The sequence below is a fragment of the Homo sapiens genome, chromosome 17, assembly GCF_000001405.40.
Source record: "Homo sapiens chromosome 17, GRCh38.p14 Primary Assembly".
NCBI classification, from domain to species: Eukaryota; Metazoa; Chordata; class Mammalia; order Primates; family Hominidae; genus Homo; species Homo sapiens.
In genome coordinates, this window is record NC_000017.11 from 34,084,972 (window position 1) to 34,112,494 (window position 27,523).

The window sequence follows — 27,523 nt, forward strand, 5'->3', positions numbered from 1 at the left end:
TGTTGTCTGCAAATAGGGACAATTTGACTTCCTCTTTTCCTAATTGAATACCCTTTATTTCCTTCTCCTGCCTAATTGCCGTGGCCAGAACTTCCAACACTATGTTGGATAGGAGTGGTGAGAGAGGGCATCCCCGTCTTGTGCCAATTTTCAAAGGGAATGCTTCCAGTTTTTGCCCATTTAGTATGATATTGGCTGTGGGTGTGTCATAGATAGCTCTTATTATTTTGAGATATGTCCCATCAATACCTAATTTATTGAGAGTTTTTAGCATGAAGGTTGTTGAATTTTGTCAAAGGCCTTTTCTGCATCTATTGAGATAATCATGTGGTTTTTGTCTTTGGTTCTGTTTATATGCTGGATTACATTTACTGATTTGTGTATATTGAACCAGACTTGCATCCCAGGGATGAAGCCCACTTGATCATGGTGGATAAGCTTTCTGATGTGCTGCTGGATTCGGTTTGCCAGTATTTTATTGACGATTTTTGCATCGATGTTCATCAAGGATATTGGTCTAAAATTCTCTTTTTTGGTTGTGTCTCTGCCAGGCTTTGGTATCAGGATGATGCTGGCCTCATAAAATGAGTTGGGGAGAATTCCCTCTTTTTCTATTGATTGGAATAGTTTCAGAAGGAATGGTACCAGTTCCTCCTTGTACCTCTGGTAGAATTTGGCTGTGAATCCATCTGGTCCTGGACTCTTTTTGGTTGGTAAGCTATTGATTATTGCCACAATTTCAGCTCCTGTTATTGGTCTATTCAGAGATTCAACTTCTTCCTGGTTTAGTCTTGGGAGAGTGTACGTGTCGAGGAATTTATCCATTTCTTCTAGATTTTCTAGTTTATTTGTGTAGAGGTGTTTGTAGTATTCTCTGATGGTAGTTTGTATTTCTGTGGGATCGGTGGTGACATCCCCTTTATCATTTTTTATTGTGTCTATTTGATTCTTCTCTCGTTTTTTCTTTATTAGTCTTGCTAGTGGTCTATCAATTTTGTTGATCCTTTCAAAAAACCAGCTCCTGGATTCATTAATTTTTTGAAGGGTTTTTTGTGTCTCTGTTTCCTTCAGTTCTGCTCTGATTTTAGTTATTTCTTGCCTTCTGCTAGCTTTTGAATGTGTTTGCTCTTGCTTTTCTAGTTCTTTTAATTGTGATGTTAGGGTGTCAATTTTGGATCTTTCCTGCTTTCTCTTGTGGGCATTTAGTGCTATAAATTTCCCTCTACACACTGCTTTGAATGTGTCCCAGAGATTCTGGTATGTTGTGTCTTTGTTCTCGTTGGTTTCAAAGAACATCTTTATTTCTGCCTTCATTTCATTATGTACCAAGTAGTCATTCAGGAGCAGGTTGTTCAGTTTCCATGTAGTTGAGCGGTTTTGAGTGAGTTTCTTAATCCTGAGTTCTAATTTGATTGCACTGTGGTCTGAGAGATAGTTTGTTATAATTTCTGTTCTTTTACATTTTCTGAGGAGAGCTTTACTTCCAACTATGTGGTCAATTTTGGAATAGGTGTGGTGTGGTGCTGAAAAAAATGTATATTCTGTTGATTTGGGGTGGAGAGTTCTGTAGATGTCTATTAGGTCCGCTTGGTGCAGAGCTGAGTTCAATTCCTGGGTATCCTTGTTAACTTTGTGTCTCACTGATCTGTCTAATGTTGACAGTGGGGTGTTAAAGTCTCCCATTATTAATGTGTGGGACTCTAAGTCTCTTTGTAGGTCACTCAGGACTTGCTTTATGAATCTGGGTGCTCCTGTATTGGGTGCGTATATATTTAGGATAGTTAGCTCTTCTTGTTGAATTGATCCCTTTCCCATTATGTAATGGCCTTCTTTGTCTCTTTTGATCTTTGTTGGTTTAAAGTCTGTTTTATCAGAGACTAGGACTGCAACACCTGCCTTTTTTTGTTTTCCATTTGCTTGGTAGATCTTCCTCCATCCTTTTATTTTGAGCCTATGTGTGTCTCTGCATGGGAGATGGGTTTCCTGAATACAGCACACTGATGGGTCTTGACTCTTTATCCAATTTGCCAGTCTGTGTCTTTTAATTGGAGCATTTAGTCCATTTACATTTAAAGTTAATATCGTTCTGTGTGAATTTGATCCTGTCATTATGATGTTAGCTGGTTATTTTGCTTGTTAGTTGATGCAGTTTCTTCCTCGTCTCGATGGTCTTTACATTTTGGCACGATTTTGCAGTGGCTGGTACCGGTTGTTCCTTTCCATGTTTAGTGCTTCCTTCAGGAGTTCTTTTAGGGCAGTCCTGGTGGTGACAAAATCTCTCAGCATTTGCTTGTCTGTAAAGTATTTTATTTCTCCTTCACTTATGAAGCTTAGTTTGGCTGGACATGAAATTCTGGGTTGAAAATTCTTTTCTTTAAGAATGTTGAATATTGGCCCCCACTCTCTTCTGGCTTGTAGAGTTTCTGCCGAGAGATCAGCTGTTAGTCTGATGGGCTTCCCTTTGTGGGTAACCCGACCTTTCTCTCTGGCTGCCCTTAACATTTTTTCCTTCATTCCAACTTTGGTTCATCTGACAATTATGTGTCTTGGAGTTGCTCTTCTCGAGGAGTATCTTTGTGGCGTTCTCTCTATTTCCTGAATCTGAATGTTGGCCTGCCTTGCTAGATTGGGGAAGTTCTCCTGGATAATATCCTGCAGAGTGTTTTCCAACTTGGTTCCATTCTCCCCGTCACTTTCAGGTACACCAATCAGACGTAGATTTGGTCTTTTCACATAGTCCCATATTTCTTGGAGGCTTTGTTCATTTCTTTTTATTCTTGTTTCTCTAAACTTCCCTTCTCACTTCATTTCATTCATTTCATCTTCCATCACTGATACCCTTTCTTCCAGTTGATCGCATTGGCTACTGAGGCTTCTGCATTCTTCACATAGTTCTCGAGCCTTGGCTTTCAGCTCCATCAGCTCCTTTAATCACTTCTCTGTATTGGTTATTCTAGTTATACATTCTTCTAAATTTTTTTCAAAGTTTTTAACTTCTTTGCCTTTGGTTTGAATTTCCTCCTGTAGCTTGGAGTAGTTTGATCATCTGAAGCCTTCTTCTCTCAACTCGTCAAAGTCATTCTCCATCCAGCTTTGTTCCATTGCTGGTGAGGAACTGCGTTCCTTTGGAGGAGGAGAGGCGCTCTGATTTTTAGAGTTTCCAGTTTTTCTGCTCTGTATTTTTCCCCATCTTTGTGGTTTTATCTACTTTTGGTCTTTGATGATGGTGATGTACAGATGGGTTTTTGGTGTGGATGTCCTTTCTGTTTGTTAGTTTTCCTTCTAACAGACAGGACCCTCAGCTGCAGGTCTGTTGGAGTTTGCTAGAGGTCCACTCCAGACCCTGTTTGCCTGGGTATCAGCAGCGGTGTTTGCAGAACAGCGGTTTTTCGTGAACGGCGAATGCTGCTGTCTGATTGTTCCTCTGGAAGTTTTGTCTCAGAGGAGTACCCGGCCGTGTGAAGTGTCAGTCTGCCCCTACTGGGGAGTGCCTCCCAGTTAGGCTGCTCAGGGGTCAGGGACCCACTTGAGGAGGCAGTCTGCCCGTTCTCAGATCTCCAGCTGTGTGCTAGGAGAACCACTGCTCTCTTCAAAGCTGTCAGACAGGGACATTTAAGTCTGCAGAGGTTACTGCTGTCTTTTTGTTTGTCTGTGCCCTGTCCCCAGAAGTGGAGCCTACAGAGGCAGGCAGGCCTCCTTGAGCTGTGGTGGGCTCCACCCAGTTCAAGCTTCCCGGCTGCTTTGTTTACCTAAGCAAGCCTGGGCAATGGCGGGCGCCCCTCCCCAGCCTCGCTGCAGCCTTGCAGTTTGATCTCAGACTGCTGTGCTAGCAATCAGCGAGACTCCGTGGGCGTAGGACCCTCCGAGCCACGTGCGGGATATAATCTCCTGGTGTGCTGTTTTTTAAGCCCGTCGGAAAAGCGCGGTATTTGGGTGGGAGTGACACGATTTTCCAGGTGCCGTCTGTCACCCCTTTCTTTGACTAGGAAAGGGAACCTCCTGACCCCTTGCGCTTCCCAAATGAGGCAATGCCTAGCCCTGCTTCGGCTCGCACACAGTGCGCTGCACCCACTGACCTGCGCCCACTGTCTGGCACTCCCTAGTGAGATGAACCCGGTACCTCAGATGGAAATGCAGAAATCACCTGTCTTCTGCGTCGTTCATGCTGGGAGCTGTAGACTGGAGCTGTTCCTATTCCGCCATCCTCCTCCTCCATTTATTTGTTAATTCAACCAATATTTATGAAGCATCAATGCTCAGGCAGAGGCTGTCCTAGGTGCTGAAATACAGTGTTAACAAGGGTAGATAGAAGTTTTGCCTTCATAGAGGGTACACTATGACACATATGCACATGCCAAATGGTGATCAAAAATGCAATGCCTTGTTAGTAACTCCTTGCTCTATTCCAAGGGCTTTTAAAATACCAAGGTGATAGCCAGGTGGGTACAGATGTTAAAACATGCCCTGGGCCTCTCTGGGCTCAGTAATTACCTGGTTCTCATATACTGCCTGCCTCTGCTATGGAAATTGATGAGCCAAAGGCTCTTTTCAGACTGGCAATCCTGTGAACTCCAACTCCACTTGCTTTGTTAGAAAAAGGAACTGAATTTAAAAGGGACAAATGCAGGATTGATTCTGTACCTTAAAATATACTTCCCTCACCTCTCTGCTTGGCCCCAGGTCCCCAGGTCACCTAGCCCCCAAGCCCCCATTTGCTGCAGAGAAGATCACTCTCTTCAAAGACTCATTTCATCCCCTCAGACTCACTCTGATCTTACACCTCTTGAAATCTGCTCTCCCCTTTCTCAGATTCCTTGTGACCTCCACCTGCCTTTTTCTAACAGCTCCAGGGCGATGGTCCAGATCACTCTCTGTGCCACTGTTTCAGACAGCCCAGCAGTCGTGGCAGCAGTGTTAATTTATTCATCCCTTAATACCAAACAGCTCCTCAGTCAGCTCATTCCCAGCTGTCTTGGTTCCTGCAGGACAATGTTCTGAACTTACTAACCTCACACCTTGGGCCTCTGACCGGAGCCTCATCACATCACTGGCATACAGATCACACCACAGTCTGATGGAAGCTTCACAGCACTAGGCCTGACAGATGAGTCACAGCTGGAAGGGTCTTCACAGAGTCCACCAGTGCTATTCAATGAGAGCTCTACTGACATTTTAGGTGGAGGGCTAGGGGGATGTGGTTTCTCTTTGTGTGGAGCTCCCTTGTATGGCAAGGAGACTTAAGCATCCTTGTCCTTCTTCCCTGAAAATAAATCCCAGGGACAGCCAAACATGTGCCCACACATTCCCAAATGCCTGTAGGAGAGAACAAGTTGAGAAGCACAGTGCCTATTGTATTTATAAATGAAGGAACTTTTCCAAGGTTACTGAGTAAGTCAGCTGCAGACCTGGTGTTCTGATGGGTGATAGGCTACAGGGTTTAATGGGAAGTGCACTGGAGTAAGAATCAGACCTTCTGACAACCATGCCGGTTGTGGTACAGGGGGCTGGGGTTGGGGGTGGGGCAGTTTGAGGAACTCAAAAGTGTAGAGTTGGAACCAATTATTCAGCCTTCCCTCCATCTGGAAAAGCTACCTTCACAGGTCTGTCTAGCACATACCTTGGAGGAATTAGCATTTGGTTTCTTCATAAGGTAACTCAACCCAAGAAGGAAAAAGAGTACTTAAGGTGGACTAAGACACCATCCATCTGCTAAACTCTGGCAACTTCCTATAGACCCTCAGTAATGGGCCACTCCCCACATCCACACTCCCCATTCTGGGCTGGGACCCCAAAAGTACTCAGCCAGAGAGACTATGGGCTCTCCAAATAGGAGGGGTCTTGGCTACCCAGTCCCCACCTCTTCCGCTTTTATTCCTTATCCATGCCCACTTCTGCCTGTGGGATTTGGAAGGCTCCAGGAGAAAACTTCAGGCTCACCTGGGAGGAGCTAGCAGTCTTTCCATCTCCCTTGGCATTTGGGTGACATGTAAATACTGGACTAGGGCCAGAAGCTTGAGTTGCTCCATCAGCCTACCTGGTACCTTCCAACCTGGGCCTCAGTTCTTCCCACCAAGGGTAGACCTGAAGATGACTGCAGTTCCTTCAATCCTAAAATGTTCTATTCAAGAATATTCTTCAATGAGATACCAACTCCAGTCCCTGAAGATCAAGACCCCCTTGGTAACTAATCATCCAGCCCTTGTCCACATTGCCAATCTCAAAACAGACCTGAGATAAAGTCTCAACCTCTTTGTGCTCCAGTTTGTCTTTTCACATAATCCAATTGTCTGGAACTTCTTAGAGGCCTTATGAAGATGTGATAACCACATCCAGGAGGGAGCAGTTTATGTAAAAACAAGAGGGGATGAGTGAGTCAAATCTAAATAGCCTCGGGCATTTCTGCCATGTCCCTGGCAAGTGATGATTGAGGCAGGGGGCCTGTAGGAGGCAGTTCCCCAGGTTTGGGGCTGGTGCCCACAAACTTGAGTGGCAGTAGTTAGGGGTTACCCGGCATCTCCCCATTATGCAGCCAGGAACTGGGGAGTGGGAGAATCCCTGGCAGCTCTGGCCCATGACAACTTTTCCCAAAGTGCTCCGTGACAGGTCATTGCAGGGAAGGGAGATGATGGATGGTGAGATCCCACCACCACTTTTCTTTCTCAAGTGGAAAGCACTTGAAAAGAAGTGAATGAGAGAAAGAACATAACAGAACAGGTTTAAGAACATTCACCGAACCAGTCCATGGCACTATTGAATCAAAGTGAAAATGAGTTGAAGCTGTCATTGAGAGCTTGTCAGTTGACTTCCAAGAGGCAGTTAATACAGTGTAAAGAGTATGTACAGGCTTTGGAATCAGATTCATATACAGATTGGAATCCCAGTTCTGTATTTTATTAGCTACATGACCTTGAGCAAGGTATTTATTTTGGCCTCAATTTCCTCATCTGTAGAGACTACAGTAGTGCATGTCTTATATGGATGAAAAGGGAAGACATTAAGGTTTTCCTTTCCCTACTTCCATGGGGGTAGGAGCTTAGAAGCAGCTCAGCGATATACTGTGGCTGTGGCAACAGTGGGGAAGAAAAGAGATGCCAGGAAAGAACTGTGGGCAGAAAATTCTAGGGGTGGTAGTGGATCCCGGACACCAGGTCTACACCAGTACACCCCCAAAATGAGGTCATGTGCAGTGAGCAGAAGTGTTAAACCTTTTGGCTCCGGGGCCAGTGTCAGGATCAAGAGGCAATACAGTAGAGGTTTCAGGCAAAGGGCTGGGAGGAACAGCCTCATCAGTGGACAACTGGAAGGCAAAGTGGTATTGGCCAGATGTACTGGTTAAACCAGTGAGAGGACAGACTGCTGGGGTAGTGATGGGCTCCAGCTCCTTTAACCACAAGGCCACTTTTCTCTGTAGAAAGAAAGTTGGTAGAGTTCAGAATAGCTTCTGAGTCATTAGAAGTGATTAAGTCCCACCCTTGTCCCTCATGTCCAATGTCATTGTGTTGTGCCAAGGGAGGGCTGAGTGGGAGGGAGAGGGAGCTGGTCTGGCCCTGTAGGCACCCTATGGGAGCCACCTTGTTTTGCATCTTTGATCAAGGCTTTGGAAAGAGACTCACGTGTGATGCCTGACTTCTAGAGGCAGTAAAGGGAGGCTAGAAAGTAGACTCTTCCTTTCCCAGTCCACACAATTTGCCTCATTTTAGTTTTTAAAATAACTTTTATTATGCAATATTTGAGAAATATAAATCACAATACAACTGGCAGCCATCCACCTACCACCCAGATTAGGAAATATAGCTGAAGCCCTCCATGGCTCTCTACATGACAATACTCTCCCCATCCTTCAGAAATCATCATGATCTGGAATTTAGGCTTTACTGTTCCCATAAATGACTTTATACTTTTATTATGTATTTATTTATCCCTGGACAACATATCGAATTGTTTTGCATGTTTTCAAACTTTATATCAATGGTATCATAAAATATGCATATTTGTCTGAAGCTTGATTTTTTCCCCTCAACATTAGGTTTGTGTGATTTATCTGTGTTGACATATGCAGCTCTGGTTTATTACTTTTCCCTGCTGAAACGTTTATTATTTCAGAACACCACAATTTACTTATTCATTCTTGTTAATAGGTAATAGAAGCTTTATTTTCCCAAAGTTTTTCTCTTACAAAATGCTGCTGGGAACATTCTCGAGCCTGAGTCCACACACATATGAGGAGATAATGCCTTTTGCCCCATTCCTAACTCCTTCACCTTTTCTAGCTCACACCTTTCCCACATCCTGCACCCAAGCCACTCTGTTTGGGCTCCATGCTTAGACTCCTGTGGTCTAAGCAGTCTCTTGTTTCCCTGAACTGGTTTGGGAATTGCCAACTTGACTTTGCCTTTGGGAACTTTCCCAGGGATTCATATTTCTGTCCTCCAGCCTCAGACAAAAAGCGGTGGGTTAGTGACCCACGTCAAGCCCCACAAAGTCCTATGTGACTTGCCTCGGTTGTGCCAACTCCTTCCTGGCTCCCACCTGACCAGACTGTAAACTCCAAAAGGCAAGAATCGGGACTGACTTATTTCATGCTGTAGCTCCAGTTCAGGCATAGGACCTGATACACTTTGAATATTTGTTGGCTGGATGACTGCATGAATTAATGCTCTATGGAGAAGGGATGTCAGATGATCAGGATTACAGATGCACTTAACTTGCAATTATCTCTACCTGGATGTCTTCAGTCCCCCACCATGGGTCCTTGGCCATTCTAGTTAATCTTATCTGGACTCTGGGCCTTTTGTGTGAACTAAGACCACCCGTCACTTGGTGAGGTCTTCTCAGATAGGCAAAGACATCCAGTCTCTCCCACATAGGATGAACCCTAGGGCCCCTAGTCATTTGGGGGCACAGGAGGGGAACTACTTTCCATTAGTTGGCCTGAGGTACTCCTAATGGCGAACCCCTGGAGCCCTTACCCTGTAGAAGGCAGCAGTCCCCTTTGTCTGCTCAGGTTGCTTTTTAATGCAGCGCACATGCTACAACGGAGGCACCTGATGGTAGAGCCATACCTGAAAGTGGATATTGACAGGAGGAAGAAGAACGAACTATAAAGGGCTCTTGAACAAACAAGTAATAAAGAAACATTCTGGTGATTGCGGAGAGGTGGGTGGGACTGAGATGCAGACAAGGGAAACCAGGGTCACTCTGGGCAAATAGCAAGTCACAGTAGGACAAAAACCACAGAGATGGATAAAGAGGAGTTGCAATCAATCCTTCCACTGGCCCTTACTAATCTGAGACCTTGGCTAGGTCATTTAGCCTTACGTGATAACAGAAAACTACTATGTGTCCACTACAGCCCATGACTACATGCCTCATATGGCAATTTCTAACTGAATCAGAACATCAACTCAGGGTGCTCAAACTCAGACCTCACAGCCAGACAGGCTGCATCTCAAGCAGGCACATCTAACTGCTGCAGGACGCTGACTCCTCAATGGATTGTGATCCAGTGTGGTTCTTACAACATCCATGATGGACAGATGAGGATGATACATGGGAAACCAAGGCACACAGTTACACAGTTAGTGAGGATGCTGCAATTCAAACCCAGGGTGTTCAGTTGGGTTCCACAGCACAAGTCACTTTGGAGATCATGAAGCAATTGCTCAAGAAAAGGTTATCTAGCTCAACCTTGCAAATTATCTCCAAAGTCCATGAGTCCAAGCCCATCTCACAGGAATTTCTCCACTGAATCCCCTTTATCTAAGAGCACATTCAAGGAAATTATGGTGTCAATGAATTCATGCATTAGTAAATTTATTTCATAAATATTAAACCCCTACTGCATGCAAAGCACTGTTCTTGGCTCCACAAATACAGGGAATGAAAAACCATAAAGTCCCTCCTTTTGAGATTCTCATGCTGGAATGTGCAAAGGTCCATAGCTCAATATAATGCCAAGAAATTTAGCAAGATTGTGCATTAGGAACAACGAGGAAATTTTCTGGAGGAAAGCATATCTGATTGTTCAGTGTCCTAGGTGCAGCCCATGGGATATGGCCTTGAGCAACTCATAACTCATGTCCCACCCCTGGGTCTTCAGTTTCTCCATATATAAAATGGAAACATTAAACAGGATGATCTCTTGAGTTCTTCTAGTCCTATTGTTCTCTGGCTCCCATTTCAGGGCTTTTATATATCAGTAGCAATCAAACCCTGGGAGACCATCAGAGGGTAGGGGATAAAATGTGGCCAGGTGAACAGAGCTCTGGAGCCCCAGGTGGGCACAGTGGATCAGCCTGGCTCGGACTAAGGGAGCTCATGCTGTCAGTCTCTTCAGAACAAGACTACTCTTGGCCTTTTTCCAGGCACCTGAGGTATAAAGCTGGCAGTGCCATCAAAGACAGGCTGGTGGCTACAATATGAAAGGGTTGATAAATAAATTCTTTTTCTCCTTAATAGACAAGCTGGTGGGTTTTATTGTAAGTGGTTTGCACTCAGTGGAGAGCCAGGACTGGCAATGCTGCATCTTTCATCTCCAAATATTAATTAATTTTCCATGATGCTTTATTTTAATCATGAAAAAATGAGATTGGTAGGAACCAGCCAAGGGAAGAGTTGGGGAGAAGCAGGCAAATTTTATATATATATATATATATATAATTTTATATATATATATATATATATAATTTTATATATATATAGAGAGAGAGATATATATAATTTTATATAGAGATATATAATTTTATATATAGAGAGATATATATATAATTTTATATATATATATATAGTTTTAAAAGCAGCACAGATAATGTAGGGGAAGGCAGTTAGAGATGGGGAGGGTTCATAGACAGAAAGTGAAGGGTTGGAGGAGAGAAAGGAAACTGATATTTTATAAACACCTACTATGTGGCACTGTACTAGGTTCCTTGCCTATATTATTTCAATCAACCCTGAAACCAATTTGTATTACTATACTCATTTTACAGATGAGCAAACTAAAGCTCAGAAAAAGTAGATAACTTTCCCAAGATCAAAATCAAATAAATTGAAAATACAGAATTCTAACCGTAGCTTTCTGACTTCATGTCTCAACCTCTTTCAACAACATCCATTCAACCTTTGACAAATATTTATCCAGTAATGATTGTGCCTCGGGCATAGTACCAGGCACTGTACACCCTCCAGCCCTAACAAACACACAGAAGGGTATTTGAATCAATCTTGGTAGATCTTGAAGGCCTCTCAGAGGAAGTGATTTCTAAGCCGTAACTTGAAGGATATGGAGGAGTTAGCCCTGGAAAGGAGGAGAAGACTGGAGGAGAAAGGACATCAGGTATAGCATGAGTTAAAGGTTATAAGGTGAGAGTTCAGGATCCATTAAAGTAACCACAAGAAGCTCATATGGCTGTTAAGTCTTGAGTTAGAAGTCAGGAGGGGTAAGGCATAAGGTGGGAGGGGCCAGATCATGCAGATAATTATGACATCAAAGGTGCCTGGATTTTAACCAGAGAGCAATGGCAAAGCCACAGAGATGATGCCATGATTTTAGTGTTATGGAAAAATCCCATTGATCATAGTGCAGAGAATGGATTTAAAAGGAGGCAGGATTGGCCGGGCATGGTGGCTGTAATGCCAGCACTTTGGGAGGCCCAGGCAGGCGGATCACGAGGTCAGGAGATCATGACCATCCTGGCTAACACGGTGAAACCCCGTCTCTACTAAAAAAATACAAAGAAGTTAGCCGGGCAGGGTGGCAGGCGCCTGTAGTCCCAGCTACTTGGGAGGCTGAGGCAGGAGAATGGTGTGAACCTGGGAGGCGGAGCTTGCAGTGAGCCGAGATCATGCCACTGCACTCCAGCCTGGGTGACAGGGTGAGACTCCATCTCAAAAAAAAAAAAAAAAAAAAAAAAAAAAAGTAGATAGGACTATGGCAGCTGCCCAAGTGAGAGATCATGGTGGCCTCCAACAGGGTAGTGGTCCTCAAGGTGGAAAGAAATGACTACAGACCTTATGCAAACTCTCTAAACTCATTTTTACTTAGAAGCTCATACAAGATGAGGCTAGTTTAAATAAGAATAATAATACTCTCTAAGCACACAGAGGAAGGACTTTAGAGAGAAGGACAGCATGGAAGAAAATGTGATCAATATTTTCTGCTCCTTTGTTATTACCCAATCCATTAGCACATATTGAGGCCTCAGGATATGCCAAGCAGTCTTTTAGACGCTATAAGGATGCTTTTACCTCTTTACCTTCACAAAGCTTCCAACTAGTTAGAAAAGGAGGGCATACGTTCTTAAAAAGACACCTAGCAATATACATCAGAGAGGCACAGACAAGAAGTAGGATGCAGGAAGAGTAGTTTGGGTTGGCATAAATAGGAGTGGAGGGGGTGGGAGAGAAGAAGATGGATTATTTACTAGCACATTCTCTACATGTTGTGGGTTGAATAGAGTCCCCCAAAACAGACAGGTTGAAATCACAAACCTCAGAATGATCCTATTTGGAAATAAGGTCATTGCAGATCAGTCATTGCAGTCAAGCTAAAGTGAGGTCACACTGGAGTAGGATGGGCTCCATTTCAATAGGGCTGATGTTCTTGTGAGAGAGAAAAAATGGTCATGTGAAGACAAGGCAGAGATTGGAGTTATTTTTAAATTTGTACTTCTAATTGTTATATCACTAGTTTTTTTGTGGTTTTTTAAAGATATTTTTTATCATAGTTGGTTGAATCCACAGATATGGAATCCATGATGTGGAACTCATGGATACAGAGGCCCAACTATGCTTTATTATGGCAGCCCTAAGAAATTAATACTGTGTATCTCACTTTACCCTCCCCCAAACTGCATGAGGTGGGCATTTTCAGTTCCATTTTACAGGTCAGGAATCTGAGGCCCCAGAATTAACATGGCAGACCACTCCACCAATATGTGGTGGACCTTTGCTCGGCTGCCCACTATGGGAGTAGTTCTGGAGGTAAATTTCAAAGGATACATAGGAAATAGAAGTTACCAGATCTGATCATGTGGAGAGCAGGAGAGCTTTACTCCATTTTGTCATGCATTGCTTTTGTCCCCAAGAGAAGCAAGTGTTTACTGGGTGTCAGGGGCGGGTTTGGAGCTGAAGAAAAATCATGGTTGAATTAGACATGGTTGCCCCTGAGGAATTCACAGTCCAGCGAGGGAGAAAGATATGTGACCAGACACAATGAGGTGAGCAGCCTGTCACTGTGCAGACAAAGCGCATGGAAGCACAGCCCCTAGGTACTCACTTATTTTCCTAACCAAGAGACATCTTGACAATAAGGCACCTACTGACTTAACAGCTTGCAGAAAAAGGAAACTTGATGACATCAAGTGAACACACCACAGTTCAGACATCAAAATTTTAAATTCCCAATTGAAAAACAACAGCAACAGTAAAATATGGGAAAGTGCACATCTTAGAATCAGGGAAATACTATAGCTTTGCCCAGAACAGGGATGGAAGGTTTTCTAAAGATTACAGCACTTGAGTTGAATCTGAAAAATGAGGGCGAATGTGCTCAGGGAAGGGCCCTGGGAGACAAGTTACTCACAGGCTGGTGATGCTTTTTCCCAGAAAAATCCCCTAACAAAATGTCAGCTCCACAAAAGCAAAGGCTCAGACTGCTTTGATCACTGCTCTATCTGCAACACCTCAAAGAAAACATAGGAGGCTTTCCGTAACTGTGTGTAGATAGAAAGAATTAGCATCATTAGGGTGAGACTGTATATGAACCACACTAAAGGCGACTGGAAGTTTGGCTTGCATCATCTGAACACTCATTTTTTTCTCTTATGAAACCTCTACCCTATACCCATCCAGAAGTGATTTCTGGGAATGCACGGTTGGGTAAGACAAACTCTAAGGGTTCTCAGTTGACAGAGGAGATGACTAATAAGTGATTTCCATACCGTGTGATGCCCCGTGATACTGTGTGATACATGCTCTGATGGCAGGAACAAGGTGAGGAAAAGCAGGCAAGTTTGGTGGGGGAGGTGACATTCAACAGGGATTTAGAGGACTCTGGAGGATGAGCAATAGATTAGCCTGCTAGAGGAAAGAGGGCGATGCTCTAGAAAGAGCAGCAGCTACATTAAGAGAGAAAAGAGAGAGAGAGAGAGAGAGAGAGAGAGAGAGAGAGAGAGAGACAGAGAGAGAGAGAGAGAGAAAGAAAGAAAGAAAGAAAGAAAGAAAGAAAGAAAGAAAGAAAGAAAGGAAAGAAAAGAAAGAAAAAAGAAAGAGAGAAAGGAAGGAAGGAGGGAAAAGAAAGAAAGAGGAAAGAAAAGAAAGGAAGGAAGAAAGAAAGAGAAAGAAAGAAAGGAAAGAAAGAAGGGAGGGAAGAGAGGGAGGGAGGAAAGAAGGAAGGAAGGAAAGAAAGAAAAAAGAGAAAGAGGAAAAAAGAGAGGAAGGAAGGAAAGAAAGAATGAAAGAAAGAAGAAAAGAAAGAGAAAGAAAGAAAAGAAAGAAAGAGAGAGAAAGGAAGGAAGGAGGGAAAAGAAGGAAAGAGGAAAGAAGAGAAAGAAAAAGAAAGAAAGAAAGGAAAGAAAGAAGGGAAGGAAGGAAGAGAGGGAGGGAGGAAAGAAGGAAGGAAAGAAAGAGAAAAAAGAGAGAAAGAGGAAAGAAAGAAAAAGAAAAAGAAAGAAAGAAAAGAGAGGAAGGAAGGAAGGAAAGAAAGAAAGAAAGAAAAGAAAGAGAAGAAAGAAAGGAAAAAAGAAAGAAAGAAAGAAGGAAAGAAGGAAAGAAAGAAAGAAAGAAAGAAAGAAAGAAAGAAAGAAAGAAAGAAAGAAAGAAAGAAAGAAAGAAAGAAAAGAGAATCTCATAGTATTCCGAAGGCTGCAAATAGTTCATTGTGACTTGGAATGAACACTGGAAGGTAGAATACATGGTATGTGTGACTGGCAGGTCATACAGGGGCCAAATCACAGGGACATGCCTAGTGAGAGGTCTGGATTTTATTGGGAAAGCAAAGGGAATTCCCATGATATTTGCTAATGGATCCAAGTTCCCAGACACTTTCTACCTGCTTTGCAAGGTGATCTCCTCTGACCAGGCCACATTCTCTCACCCCAGGAACCGCAAACACATTGTCCCTGCAGACCACCAAAGAGCAGGATTGAAAACAGTATCAGGAAAGGGAGAAGCCATGTGTAACATTACCTTAATTTAACATTCTTCCTCTCTTTCTTGTTTTTTTTTTTTTTTTAAATCAATTGGTGATTCATAGGCACTATATTTCCCCCTCAATCCATTCGCAAGAGAAGTGTTATAATAACATGTCAGGGAGGTGTGGATAAGCGGCATCATGGAGCCTGGTTTATAATGCAGTTTGTTAACAGATGCTAACGTCCCGATTATGCATTCCAGCATCATTTATACCCAGCTCCATGGCACGGTAAGGCTCGTCACATCATAATTCTCCAAAGCAGTTGCTATTAATCACTCATTCATTATTAAAACACATTGTATTCATTCCGCTTGGCAACTGGAGCAGGGCAGGCTCTATTTATCCAGAGCAATTATCTTCAGACTTTGTCAACCTCAGCCCAGAAGAGCGTCCGGCCCTCCAGGATGGCTGAGAGCTTTGAAGAGACACCTCAATGCAGAAGGGAACACAGGACTCACAGAAGACATGGATCTCATCCAAAGGGCCATCCATCCCTGAGAGGGCTGAGGGCTCCCAGGAACCAAGACCATCTGTCCCCTGGTTGTCTCCTCCTACTGCGTCTCCCTTCAACTTGAAATCTCTTCCCTTTAAGTGAATTCTGCTGGGCTTTCTTCTGTTCCCAGGTATCTCAATATCACCTGGGGAACCAGAGCTACTCCCCACTTCCTGGGCTCATATCCAAACTTACTTGATCATAGGAAGCCATGGAGTTTTGTAGTGAAATATAAGGGCTATGGGGACAAATCCCTTGCCTTCTAGCACTCATTGTGTGATGTTGAATAAATAATTTAACTTCTTTGTCCCTCAGTTTTATCAGCTGTAAAAGGGGGTTGATAATAATAGAACCTACTTCATAGAGTTTCTGTTAGGATAAAATGAGTTAATTCTGACAAAAGTCCTTATAAAATGCCTGAAATATAATTCACATCAGCTCTTGTTACTACTTATTAAAACCATCCTAGCATTTCCTAAATGTTCCCCCGCCCAGCTGTTTATAAGCATGGGCATGGAGATCTATTCCTCGACTCTGTAAATGGCTGTTGAGCATCCCAAATGTATCCGGTATTGTTTTAAGTACCAGAGACACATACATATACAAGGCTCAGTCCCTCCTTCAAGGGGCCCACCCACTAGTAATGTAGTGTTGCCAAAACAGTACTCAGACCTTTAGAGATCTGGAAGCCCCTCTGTTTTTCCCCAAAAGTCTGTATTTGGTTACGCTTTCCAGTTCACACAGTACTTTTTCTGCTTACCACTTCGTCAAGTGCTTACCTGAAGGTAACAAACACACGGCTCAACTCTCAACGTCAAGTGAGTACCCAGGGTCACTGAGGGTTCCCACGCTTTTAATGAAATATGCCAGCCTAAGAATGTACAGAGGATAATTTAATGATTTAATAATATATTTTATTTAAAAGATTTTAAAGGCCTGTGAATCTCTCCTTTTGCACCATCCAGTAGGAACCACCAATCTCAAATCCGGTGTTTATGATTTCCATGATTATTTTTGTTAACATTTATTATACAAGTGTATGCCTATAAACAATATGTAAGTCTCCGTACGTGTTTTCAAACTTTATATAGATGATACCACATTGTATATATCCTGTCGCTTGCTTTTTCTAAGGAATGCATTTTATTACGGAAAAATTCAAACGTCTGCAAGTAAACAGAATAGTCTAATCAACTCCTATGTATCACCTGGCTCCAACAATTGTCGACATTCAGCCATTCTTGATTTACCTATGCCATCACCATACCCTACCTCCCATCAATCAATAATTATAGCTTACAGTTCTACTTTTACATTTTATAAACACCTAAATGCATAAACAATAACTGTATGCTTAAAAAAAAAGTAGATACAGCCAGGTGTGGTGGTTCATGCCTGTAATCCCAACAATATGGGAGGCTGAGGCAGGTGGATCACTGAGGTCAGGAGTTCGAGACTAGCCTGGCCAACTTTGAGACTAGCCTGGCCAACATGGTGAAACCCTGTCTCTACTAAATATACAAAAATTAACCGGGTGTGGTGGTGGGTGCCTGCAACCCCAGCTACTCGGGAGGCTGAGGCACTAGAATCGCCTGATCCCAGGAGGCAGAGGTTGCAGTGAGCTGAGATCGCCCCACTGCACTCCAGCCTAGGTGACAGAGTGAGACTCCGTCTAAAAAATAAATAAATAAATAAAAATAAAATAAAATATAAAGATAAAAATAAAAAGTGGATGCATCATGTATCTCTAGCCATATCAAGATACAGAACACTCATATCTACAGAAAATTTCCTCCTTTGCTGAAACTCCTCTTCCCCTCCTGCCACCTCACACCCCAGAAAACCATCATTTTGGCCTTCTCACCTCAGATTACATTTTCCCATTCTATAACCTCATATAAATAGAATCATATGGCATATAGCCTTTTGTGTTCCTTTTGGGAGAGGGGGTTCAGCACTGTCTCTGAGATTTACCCATGTTATTCCATGTATCAATAGATGCTTACTTTCTACTGCTAAGTAGTATCACACTGCAGGAATATAGCACAATTTTGTATTCATTTTCCCATTCATGAGTATTGGGGCTGTTTCCAGTTCTTGGTAATTGTGAATAAAGTTGCTATAAACATTTTCATACGGTACTTTTTGTAGGTATTTGTTTGCATTTCTCTTGGATTAAGGAGTGTTCCTCTTAACGGTTTAAGAAATTACCAAAGTGGTTGTGCTATTTTACATTTTCTCCAGTAATGGACAGGCATTTCATTTGCTCTACATACTCCCCAACCATTGTTGTGAGCTGATATTTCATTGTTCAAGACTTTTGCTTACTTTTATTAAATTGTCATTTTATTGTTGAGTTGAAAGAGTTCTTTACACATTCTGAATAGCAGTCTTCTGTCAGAAATATGCTTTGAAAATATTTTCTTAAGTCTATTTATTTTCTATAACAATGATATATTTTGTTGATCAGAGTTTTTGTTTCTTTTGATTTTTTGCAGGGGAGTGGGAGGGGGGACAGTCTCATTTAGTCACCCAGGTTGAAATGCCGTGGCACTATCATGCCTCAACGTAGCCTCAATCTCCCAGGCTTGAGCCACGCTCCCACCTCAGCCTCCCAAGTAGCTGGGACCACAGGCATGTGCCACAATGCCTGGCCAATTTTTTATTTATTTTTATATTTGCAGAGATGGGGTCTCATTATGTTGCCCAGGCTGGTCTCAAATTCCTGTGCTCAAACAATCCTCTTGCTTCAGCCTCCCAAAGTGCTGGAATTACAGGCATGAGCCACCATGCCTGGCTTGTTTCAATTTTTATGAAGTCTAATTTATCATTTATTTTTTATTTTATTTCAGAGTTTTCAGAGTTTTGTCTTAACATTTTTCGTTATCCTGTAAACATATTTCCCTGTTTTTTTCAATAAGCCTTATAATTTTAGCTTCTATATTTAGAACAGTCATCTCTAATTAAATGTGGTGTGTGTGGTGTGAGGTCAGAGATTGGGCTCACTTTTTTTTTGCACAGATATCCTGTTGTTTCAGCACAATTTGTTGAAAATACTTTCCTTTTTCCTTTGAGTGACTTGCTGTTTTTGTCAAAAATTAATTCACCATAAACATGTGTATCTATTTATGTATTCTCTGGTCTGCTGCAGTGATTGATGTGTCTATCTTTATGCCAATATCTAACTGTCTTAATTACTGTAGCTTTATATTCATATGTCTTGAAGTCAAGTAGTTTGAGTTCTTCAGCTTTCTTTTTCAAGATTGTTTAGGCTATTCTAGGTCATATGCATTTCCATATAAATTCTAGAATTGTTTTATCTATTTCTATTTTTAAAAAGCCTTATGGAGTTTTGATTTGAATCATGTCGAGCTATGGATCGCTGTGGGAAGGTTTGACATCCTAACAATATTGAATTTTCCAACCCACAAATATAGTATATCTCTTCATTTATTTATGTCCTCTTTAACTTTTCTCAGCAATATTTTGTAGTTTTCAATATAGAGGATTTACATATCTTTTGTTAAATTTATCAAGCATTTTACATTTTTATAAAATTGTGAATAAAATTTTAATTTTATTTTCTATTGCTTTCTGCCAATATATAGAAATACAACTGATTTTCCGTATGTATCTTATAGTCTGAGATATTGTTAAGTTTATGTAAATCGTTCTAGGAGTTTTCTTTGTTCATTCCTCAGGCTTTTCTTATAAAATTGAATACTATCTGTGAGTTTGAATTAATTAAATAAAACTTTTGTTTATAGAAACAAATTCTTCCTTTTGAGTCTTTATGCTTTTAGTTTTCCTCGCATTATTGAACAAGCTAGAGCCTTCATACAATATTGAATAGAAGATTCAGCATTCTGGCCTTTTTTTTCTGATCTTAGGGGAAAAGCATTCAGGGCTTCCCCATCAAGAATTAACAATAGACTCTTGCACATGCTCTCTATCAGAATTGGGATTCTAGTTTGTTAGAGGATGGCTATTCCAATTTGCTGAGAATTACTGTCATTAATGAGTGCTGGATATTGTTAAATGCCTTTTCTCCATCTATTAAGATGATCATATATGTTTTTAACTTTAATATATTAATTAACCAGATTACATTGATTAATTTTTAAATGTTGAACCAAACTTGTATTCCTGAGATAAAATTTAATTGGTTATAATATTCTTTTTATATATTTCTGAAAAATATTTTGCTACAGATTCTTGCATCTATGTTAATGAAGAATATTTTCTTCCCTTTTAATGTCTTTGTCATGGTTTGATATCAAAAATCAATTCATAAAATGGGTTAAGATGTTAAAACATGTATTTTCCTCCTCTATTTTCTGGAAGAGGTTGTAAAAGATGGTACTACTTCCTCCCTGAATGTTTGCTAGAATTCACCTGTGAAGGCACTGGAACCAAGAGTTTATTTGTTGAAATGTTTTGATTTAAAAATTCAATTTTTTTCATGGGTATAGTTATTCAGAATTTCTATATCATCTTGTGTTAGTTTTAGTTTCATGGGCAGTTGGTCAGTTGACTCAAGGCGTTTGCTCATTTCATCTGAATTGTAGCATTTTCTTGCATGATTTTTTAAATAGTATTTTCTTTTTATCCTTTTAACATCTGTAGGATTTATAATGATATTCATTTCTTAATTCATGTTATTATACTATAGATAACTTGTGTTTTTCCTGTTTTTGTTTTTTGGTCTAGCTAGAAGTTTATCAAATGTATTAATCTTTCCAAAAGCAATTTCTGGATTTCTTGGTTTTCTATTTTTAATTTTTAAAAATTTCTGCTGTTATCTTTATTATTTCCTTTCATCTACCTTTTTTTTTTTTTTTGCTTGTTTTTATTTTTGGTCTTTATTGGCAGAAACTTAGATCATTAATTTATACCTTTCTTCCTAATATAAACATTCAAACTTAACATTTGTTTCCTCTAAGCACTGAATTAGCTTCATCCCTTGCTTGTTTGGATACTAGTTAATAATTACAAAAAATAATGACAGTTATTAAAAAAATAAAAAGGACACTAAAATATTCTTTGTACAGATTCACCTCTGTTAATATTTCTTGACATTTCAAGTTCTCTCTTGCTCGTTCTTACTATGTATATGTGTGGGTGTATTTTCTGAAACATCTGAAGGTGATTTATATATATTGTAGACATTTATCACTAAATAATTCAATGTGTTTCCCAAGAGTAGGAGTACTTTCTTACATAACCACTGCAATTATTAAATTCATACATTTACATTTATGTTATACTTCAATCTAGTATACCATCCATATTGTAATTTTGTCATTTAACCTAAAAATGCCTCTTATAATGTCTTTTTCTCCTGTAGCACAGGATCCTATCTAGTTGTCAAGTTTCTTTAGCCTTAAATAGTCTCGAATGTTTCCACAGTCTTTCCTTATCTTTTATGACAATAACATTTTTGAAAAATACAGCCCTACTACCATTTAATAGAAAGTTATTCATTTTGGGTTGTCTAATGTTTCCTTGTGATTAGGTTCAGGTCACACACTATCTTAGGATATCACAATTGGAGATACACAATGTCCATCTTCCCTCATTGGTGATGTTAATTTGATCATTTGTTCAAGGTGTTGCCAATTTTTTGAAAATATAGTTATTGATATTTCTCTTTTAACTGACAGTCAGTATATGAAGTATCTTTCTCTCATCAAAATACCCCTCCCTAGATTCAGTATCCATTGATTATTTTTACCCATTTTTACTACGATGATCACAAAATGATGATTTCCAAGCTCCAGCACTCCTTCCATATTGATTAGTTGGCCCTCAGCATTCTAATGCCAGGAAGAAACCTCCCCTCTCCTGTATGTCTGCATGTATGTATGTATGCACCTATTTATCAATCATATCTATCTATCCATCTATCTAATCTATATACTCAATAAATGTGTCTACCTACCTAATGAATCTAATATGGATATTGATTCATGCATTTCTATTTTTCCATGATTTATCATTCATTACTATCCTTAATCATTTTGGCGTTCAAATTTTTAGAAATTTGGTCAGTGAGAACTCCTTAAAGCTAGTTCCTGTGTCCCTGTGACATCCTCCCACCATGTTTTAAAGCACTTTCTTATTTTCCTACATAGTGAGATATTCCAGGTTCATCTTTTACCCCAGTTCCAGCCCTGGAATATGAAAAGTCCTAGTTTCTTTAATTGAGAAATGGTAGTAGAGACAAAATTATGGGTGCTATTTATACTTATTATTCCAGGAGTATATTTGCTTCTTGGCTCTTTAGCAAACAGAGCTAAGAAATACATGCATGGACATATATATGTACATGCATATTTACATAAATATACATATGCGCAAACCTAGATATGCATACATGCAGGTGCATACATATATGTTCACTTAAACATATATACACACATATATGTACATATTTAGAGATATCTCCAGTTCCAATCCATCCTCAGGATTATTTTGTGACTTCTCCTGTCCCATAGTATGTTTGTATACCTTCTTTCACAATGAGAACTTTGACCCTCGGTATCATTTACACATCTACTCTTTTGGCTTGGCACAGTGGCTCACAGCTGTAATCCCAGCACTTTGGGAGGCCAAGGCAGGCAGATCACTTGAGTCCTGGAGTTTCAGACCAGCCTGGAAAACATGGCAAAACCCCATCTCAACTAAAAATAAAAAAATAAAAAATTAGCTAGGGGTGGTGGTGATCGCCTATAGTCCCAGCTACTTGGGTTGCTGAGGGAAGAAGATCACCTAAGCCTGGGAGGTGGAGGCTGCAATAAGCTGTGATCACGCCACTGTACCCCAGCATGAGTGACAGAGTAAGATCCTGTCTCAAACAGAACAAAGCAAAACAAAACCATTTACTCTTTTGTTCAGTTCTACAGTATCTTAAAGTACATTCAGAATTGCTTCACTCAAACACTATGATAGGCAAACCTACTAAAAGGAGTTTATCAATTATTTTCAATTCTCCCCCACCACAAGTCCAATCTGACCAAAACTAAAGGTAGTCACAAGTTGTGTTCATAAGGTACTCAAAATAGTTTGTTCTTTATTCCCTTCCAGCTAGTTATGGTATTAATTTGAAATATAATTAGGTTCATTTGTCAGTTTGCTTTCAGTTTTAGGGTTCTCTCCTTTACATTTTTCGGCTTTAATTTAATTTGGGGGTTATACTGACATTTTATTATTAGCATGCATCCGAAAGTCAAATATTTGAAAATACGTAATTAGAAAAGTGTCACTCTTTCTCATACTTTTCCATCCCACCTCGCCTCACACTTTGTAGGTATCCAATTTCACTATTTTCCAGTTTATCCTTCTTATGTTCTTTATGTAATGATAAGCAGATATGTGGCTATTTCCTTACTTACCCTTTTTCTTACACATGCTCATTTGTATCTCGCTTTTTTTTACTTATAAACATCTCTTTGAAATCATTTTGTATCAGTTCACAAGGATCTTCCTTACTTATTTTCAACAACTACATAATACTCCATTGAGTGACTGTGCCATAGTTTATTCAACAAAACTGCTCTGCTGAAACTTTCTGGAAGTTCCAATTTTTTGAAATCTCAAATATTGCCACAATAAATATCCTGTTCATGCATTTTTTTATATAGTTGTAGGTGCTCCTAGATGTGGCTCTCACAAATTGTGATATGATAAATTGTCTTTATCATTTAGATTGAAATATTTTATAATTTTTCCTTGTGATTTCTTATTTGAACTATAGTTTATAAATGTATAGTTTAATTTCAAAATATTTACTTTTATTGGTTTCAAATGTAATTATGCCACTGTCATATAACTTACCCTATTACCCTATAAGATTTCAAACTTTTGAAGTTTACTATGACTTGTTTATGATATTTACGTTATATGGTGTATCGTGGTGAACACTCCTCGTACATTTGAAAACATTTTGCAGTTATTGGGTTTAGTGTTCTATAAGTGCCAATTAGGTCCAAGCAGTTTACTGTGTCATTCATATATTTCATATCATTGTTGATTCTTTGTGTAACTGTTTTATCAATGACTAAGAAGAGTGTTAAAATCAACTCTAATAGCAGATATGTCTATTTTGATTTTAGTTCTGTTATTTTTTTCTTCGTTATATTTTGAAACTCTGTTAAGTGCATATCCATTTATAATTGTTATGTCTTCCTCACTTATTGACCCTTATATGTTAAAATATGCTATTTTTCTTATCCATAATACTCTTTATCTTGAAATTTATTTTGTCTAATGTTATTTTACCCCCTATATCTTGGTTATGGTTAGTGGTGTTTGCATGGAATATCTTATCTTTTTACTTTCAACATATTTTGTCTATTTTCTTTTTTTATTTGTTGATTTATTTTATTTTATTTTATTTTTATTTTATTTTATTATTATTATACTTTAAGTTTTAGGGTATTTTGTCTATTTTCAACCTATGTGTTAACCTATTAAAGTGGATTTCTTGTGAGCAACATGTAGTTAGTTGCGTCTTTTCTTATCTTTTCTGGCAACTTCTGTAACTTATTATTTTGTTTTCTGTTTAACTCTTTGTTTTTTGAGGATTATGCATGTAGACGATACGTATAGCTCTAGTTCATTTATTGTCATTGCTCTGTAAAATACTATGGCAGGAATATACCAAAATCTAGTTTTCCATTCTGCTTCTGGGCTGCCACTTGGGTTGTTTATGATTTTTCATATGTACAAACAATGCCAAAAGTATACAGTCCTGTGCATGTCTTCTACGTACATGTATGTTCCAAGACAAAGGTAAGTGTACAATTCCTAGATCTTAGAATATGAGAATCATCTGTCTTTACCATATAAGCATTCACTGATATGGGTAAAAAAAAAATGCAGTTTTGCCAGTTTATACTTTCATCAAGCGTAAATGAGAATTTCTCTTGATCGATATCCTTTCCAACACTTGGTAACGTTACACACACCCAAACACATGCCCACCACATGTGCTATCTGACAGCTTTTAAACGGAGTCTCACTGTTATATAAACCTGCATCTTTTCATGTGTATATTGGCCATTAAGCCTTCCTCATTGAGGACTTGCTCATTCATATACTCTACTCTCATTTTTTAAGCTGAAAAATAAAAATTTGGAGGCATGATTTTCCCAAGATCACACAGCAGTCATGGATTAGACATGAGTCCAGGTATTGTAACACTGAAAATAAGTTTTTCTCTCTCTTTATCTATCTATCGTGATACTGTATAGATTTTATGACTAGGTATATGCGTGTGTGTGTGTGTTTGTGTGTGTGTGAGAGAGAAAGAGAGAGAGAGAGATGAGATGAGATGAGATGAGATAGTATGGGATAGTATTTCTAAAATTCGTATTTTGGCTTGAGGTTTTCAGATCCAGTTCTAATAAATAGAACATCCAAGACAAATCACCTCTGATGTACCCCTTCCCTCCAATCTTTTTCCCAAGTAAAATAAAAATAAAGTGAAAGAAAATCAAGAACAACCTTAAGGAGATGCTCTGAGAAGAGAGTCCCCAGTCTTGCCTATCTTATAGGGTGGGCTTATGGGCTGAACAAACAAACGTGGGCATCAAGTCAGCCCCAGCAACCACTTTTTTCTCTCTTTCTGGAATACTTTCTAAGGTATTGCCCAGATTAGGATAGGGAGCCAGGGCGCTGGCCTAATTCCTAACCAGGAACAACTCTGGGAAGGCTGCCTTCTGTGACTGCCCTAGGAAACCTAGCTCTTCCTCGCCCTCTCTCTGCCCCTGGCTCTCCCAGCCTCTCTGCTGCCGCTGCCTCAGGATTGATCATTAGCCTGGGATTAGCAGCTGTGCCAGCAGCAGGCGGGACAAAGCCCTGCTGCCCTGGGCTGTAGCTGCAGAGGGCTGGCTGGGGAGGGAGGGCTCAGCTGCCCAAGTGCCAGGCATATGTCAAATCCAATTTGGGAGAGGATCTTGTTAAGCCTTCGTATTAGATGACATCCTCCTTAAAAAAAATCATCGGTTAGGAAGGCTTTGCAATGTCTACCAAGCACCCATGCTGAGGTCAGATAGTGTTTCCTGTCAAGAATAGATTCTTTATATCCCATCGGTCCCTGGGTTCAAGGGGATTTGATTAGTCAGATATGGCTTACCTATAAGCCTTGCTGGCCCTAATCAGTCTCTGCCTTTCAAAAGCTTTGTGACTCATTTTTTGTGATCATATCGTCCAGCATCTTCACTAGTAAAGGGCACAGGGCTCTTTTCATTCCCGTCCTGTTACCCTTTCAAAATTATAGGCACAAGCCAGACACGGTGGCTCATGCCTGTAATCCCAGCACCTTGGGAGGACGAGGCTGGTGGATCACTTGAGGTCAGGAGTTCGAAACCAGCCTGGCCAACATAGTGAAACTCTGTCTCTACTAAAAATACAAAAAAGTTAGCTGGGCATGGCGGCAGGCACCTGTAATCCCAGCTACTCAGGAGGCTGAGGCAGGAGAATCACTCGAACCCAGGAGGCAGAAGTTGCAGTGAGCGGAGATCATGCCATTGCACTCCAGCCTGGGCAACATAGCGAGACTCCATCTCAAAAAAACATATATATACACACATATATATAATAGTATATATTATATACAACATATTATATAATTATATAATATAATGTATATATATTATATTATATTATGTTATATTATATATACAGGCACCAAAAATGATAAAACAGATTCTGGGTCTGTGGCAAAACAGTACTTTTATACATGGCTTGTGACAGCATAAATTGTCCTAACCCTTTTGAAAAGATATGTTACAGTAGGTGTCAAAATTCAAAAGTATATGCACTCTGACATTCTACTTACGGAGTTTTCCCATTAGGATAGTGTAACTAAAATTTATTGCCTATCTATTCTGAGCTAGGCACGTTATTCTGCTGCTAATTCTGCAAGTCAAGCCTTTGACACTTATTGTTTTTGATGAGGAAATTAGAACAATGGCTAAGTGACTTACCTGATATGGCACCATTATTATAAGGGAGAATCTGCATTCAAATGCAGTCTGATTCCAATCCCGTTTCTTCTCCTACAAAACACTGCTTTGGGAGAAGGATTTCTATGTATGAACATCTTCACTGCGGCATTATTTATGATAGCAAAAGCTGAGAAAAACAAGTGGCTCATAATAGAAGAATGTTCTAGTAAATTATGAGAATTTAACCCAATGGATTATTTTTCCATCTTATAAATTTTAGTGATTATTTAGTGATTTTGGGAAAAGCATATCATATATATTAAGTCAAGATAATAGAATACAAAATTATTTCTATATAATGATTATAACTATATTAAAATGCATAGCCATATGGAAAAAATTCTCATGGGAACTTGGAATATAAAAGACTTTTTTTTAAGGTATTAGTAACTAAAAGTGATTTCCCAAAATAGTCATTGTTACAAAGTTGTATTTGAAGAAAGACACTAGTCTTAGTGGAAAGAATAATATATTCAGAATAGAAGAGACCAAAATCTGAATGCTATCTCTTCCACAGTCTAAATTTATGAAACTGAGCAACTTCCCTATAATCTCTGAGCCTCAGTCTTTTTCATTTGTAAAACAGTGATAATATTTACCTCATAGGATCACAGTGCAAGTTAAATACATTAGAGTACCAACAAATACTGAACTCATCATAATAAATTCAATAACAAAAAAAGACATCCCTGATAAATGTATTAGCTAACAAACTAAATACAAATGATGATCCTTCTCAAGCTTCCACCACCTCCAAAGTTTTCTGCAGATTTTCAGACGCAAGACAGGCCAAAAAAAAAAAAAAAAGGAAAACTTCAGCCCACACAC

The 27,523-nt window shown here is 39.9% G+C and overlaps 1 protein-coding gene and 1 long non-coding RNA gene across 4 annotated transcripts in view; both read right to left on the reverse strand.

Moving 5' to 3' along the window:
* Nucleotides 1-27,523, reverse strand: part of ASIC2 (acid sensing ion channel subunit 2) — a 1,143,682-nt gene that overhangs the window by 1,071,885 nt on the left and 44,274 nt on the right. The gene's annotated exons all lie outside the window — the stretch shown is intronic.
* LOC107985036 (uncharacterized) lies at nt 4,171-26,835 on the reverse strand. 3 transcript variants are annotated; one of them, XR_001752835.1, is made up of 8 exons: nt 26,675-26,835; nt 16,463-16,554; nt 15,047-15,116; nt 13,580-13,709; nt 13,015-13,122; nt 12,487-12,597; nt 8,970-9,062; nt 4,171-4,279 (listed from the first exon to the last, which is right to left on the reverse strand). It is a non-coding gene; the product is annotated as an uncharacterized LOC107985036 (long non-coding RNA). The 3 variants fall into 3 exon arrangements; XR_007065718.1 differs by having other exon boundaries at nt 13,015-13,679; XR_007065717.1 differs by having other exon boundaries at nt 13,015-13,709.